Below are 3,126 nucleotides of genomic sequence, written 5' to 3' on the forward strand. Positions count from 1 at the left end.
TAAAAGTGGCACAAGAGAAGAACAAATAATATGCAATGGAACTCCAATACATCTGGCAGCATACTTTTCAGTAGAAACCTTACAGGACAGGCAAGAGTGACGTGACATATTTAAAGTGCTAAAGGAAGAAAACTTTTACCCTAACATAGTATATCCAGTGAAAATATCCTTCAATTGTGAAGAATAAATAAATATTTTCCCCAATAAACAGAGACTTCATCTATGCCAGACCTGTTCTACAAGAAATGCTAAAGGGAGTTCTTCAATCTGAAAGTAAAGGATGTTAATGAGCAGGAAGAAATGATCTGAAGGTACAAAACTCACTGGTAATAATAAGCACACAGAAAAACGCAGAATGGTGTAACACTGTAATTGTGGTGTGTAAACTACTCTTGTCTTAAGTAGAAAGACTAAGTGATGAGCCAAACAAAAATGATAACTACAACTTTTCAGGACATTGATAGAAAATAAAACATAAAGAGAAACAATAAAAAGTTAAAAAGCAGGTGGACAAAGTTAAAGTGTGGAGTTTTTATGAGTTTACTTTTTGCATATATGTTTGTTTATGCAATCAGTGTTAAGTTGTTATCAGTTTAAAATAATGGGTTATGAGGGGAGGAGCCAAGATGGCCAAATAGGAACAGCTCCTGTCTACAGCTCCCAGCCTGAGCAACGCAGAAGACGGTGATTTCTGCATTTCCATCTGAGGTACCGGGTTCATCTCACTAGGGAGTGCCAGACAGTGGGCGCAGGTCAGTGGGTGCGCGCACCGTGCGCGAGCCGAAGCAGGGCAAGGCATTGCCTCACTTGGGAAGCGCAAGGGGTCAGGGAGTTCCCTTTCTGAGTCAAAGAAAGGGGTGACGGACGGCACCTGGAAAATCGGGTCACTCCCACCCGAATACTGCGCTTTTCCGATGGGCTTAAAAACGGCGCACCACGAGAGTATATCCCGCACCTGGCTCGGAGGGTCCTACGCCCACGGAGTCTCGCTCATTGCTAGCACTGCAGTCTGAGATCAAACTGCAAGGCGGCAGCGAGGCTGGGGGAGGGGCGCCCGCCATTGCCCAGGCTTGATTAGGTAAACAAAGCAGCCGGGAAGCTCCAACTGGGTGGAGCCCACCACAGCTCAAGGAGGCCTGCCTGCCTCTGTAGGCTCCATCTCTGGGGGCAGGGCACAGACAAACAAAAAGACAGCAGTAACCTCTGCAGACTTAAATGTCCCTGTCTGACAGCTTTGAAGAGAGCAGTGGTTCTCCCAGCACGCAGCTGGAGATCTGAGAACGGGCAGACTGCCTCCTCAAGTGGGTTGCTGACCCCTGACCCCCGAGCAGCCTAACTGGGAGGTACCCCCCAGCAGGGGCACACTGACACCTCACACTGCAGGGTATTCCAACAGACCTGCAGCTGAGGGTCCTGTCTGTTAGAAGGAAAACTAACAAACAGAAAGGACATCCACACCAAAAACCCATCTGTACATCACCATCATCAAAGACCAAAAGTACATAAAACCACAAAGATGGGGAAAAAACAGAACAGAAAAACTGGAAACTCTAAAATGCTGAGTGCCTCTCCTCCTCCAAAGGAACGCAGTTCCTCACCAGCAACGGAACAAAGCTGGATGGAGAATGACTTTGACGAGCTGAGAGAAGAAGGCTTCAGATGATCAAATTACTCTGAGCTACGGGAGGACATTCAAACCAAAGGCAAAGAAGTTGAAAACTTTGAAAAAAATTTAGAAGAATGTATAACTAGAATAACCAATACAGAGAAGTGCTTAAAGTTGCTGCTGGAGCTGAAAACCAAGGCTCGAGAACTACGTGAAGAACGCAGAAGCCTCAGGAGCCGATGCGATCAACTGGAAGAGAGGGTATCAGCGATGGAAGATGAAATGAATGAAATGAAGCGAGAAGGGAAGTTTAGAGAAAAAAGAATAAAAAGAAATGAGCAAAGCCTCCAAGAAATATGGGACTATGTGAAAAGACCAAATCTACGTCTGACTGGTGTACCTGAAAGTGATGGGGAGAATGGAACCAAGTTGGAAAACACTCTGCAGGATATTATCCAGGAGAACTTCCCCAATCTAGCAAGGCAGGCCAACGTTCAGATGCAGGAAATACAGAGAACGCCACAAAGATACTCCTCGAGAAGAGCAACTCCAAGACACATAATTGTCAGATTCACCGAAGTTGAAATGAAGGAAAAAATGTTAAGGGCAGCCAGAGAGAAAGGTTGGGTTACCCTCAAAGGGAAGCCCATCAGACTAACAGCGGATCTCTCAGCAGAAACCCTACAAGCCAGAAGAGAGTGGAGGCCAATATTCAACATTCTTAAAGAAAAGAATTTTCAACCCAGAATTTCATATCCAGCCAAACTAAGCTTCATAAGTGAAGGAGAAATAAAATACTTTACAGACAAGCAAATGCTGAGAGATTTTGTCACCAGCAGGCCTGCCCTAAAAGAGCTCCTGAAGGAAGCGCTAAACATGGAAAGGAACAACCGGTACCAGCCGCTGCAAAATCATGCCAAAATGTAAAGACCATCGAGACTAGGAAGAAACTGCATCAACTAACCAGCAAAATCACCAGCTAACATCATAATGACAGGATCAAATTCACACATAACAGTATTAACTTTAAATGTAAATGGACAAAATGCTCCAATTAAAAGACACAGACTGGCAAATTGGATAAAGAGTCAAGACCCATCAGTGTGCTGTATTCAGGAAACCCATCTCACGTGCAGAGACACACATAGGCTCAAAATAAAAGGATGGAGGAAGATCTACCAAGCCAATGGAAAACAAAAAAAGGCAGGGGTTGCAATCCTAGTCTCTGATAAAACAGACTTTAAACCAACAAAGATCAAAAGAGACAAAGAAGGCCATTACATAATGGTAAAGTGATCAATTCAACAAGAAGAGCTAACTATCCTAAATATATATGCCCCCAATACAGGACCACCCAGATTCATAAAGCAAGTCCTGAGTGACCTACAAAGAGACTTAGACTCCCACACATTAATAGTGGGAGACTTTAACACCCCACTGTCAACATTAGACAGATCAACGAGACAGAAAGTCACCAAGGATACCCAGGAATTGAACTCAGCTCTGCACCAAGCGGACCT

The 3,126-nt window shown here is 44.4% G+C and overlaps 2 annotated features.

Annotated features, from left to right (window-relative positions):
- Nucleotides 300-885: an enhancer, noted in NCBI's record as "NANOG-H3K27ac-H3K4me1 hESC enhancer chr8:16801165-16801750 (GRCh37/hg19 assembly coordinates)". NCBI's record gives its function as "activates a minimal SCP1, AML or CMV promoter by ChIP-STARR-seq in primed H9 embryonic stem cells {active_cell/tissue: H9 hESC(primed)}" and the evidence as "EXISTENCE:reporter gene assay evidence [ECO:0000049][PMID:30033119]".
- Nucleotides 886-1,469: an enhancer, noted in NCBI's record as "NANOG-H3K27ac-H3K4me1 hESC enhancer chr8:16801751-16802334 (GRCh37/hg19 assembly coordinates)". NCBI's record gives its function as "activates a minimal SCP1, AML or CMV promoter by ChIP-STARR-seq in naive and primed H9 embryonic stem cells {active_cell/tissue: H9 hESC(naive and primed)}" and the evidence as "EXISTENCE:reporter gene assay evidence [ECO:0000049][PMID:30033119]".

Source organism: Homo sapiens, chromosome 8 (genome assembly GCF_000001405.40).
Source record: "Homo sapiens chromosome 8, GRCh38.p14 Primary Assembly".
Lineage (NCBI taxonomy): Eukaryota > Metazoa > Chordata > Mammalia > Primates > Hominidae > Homo > Homo sapiens.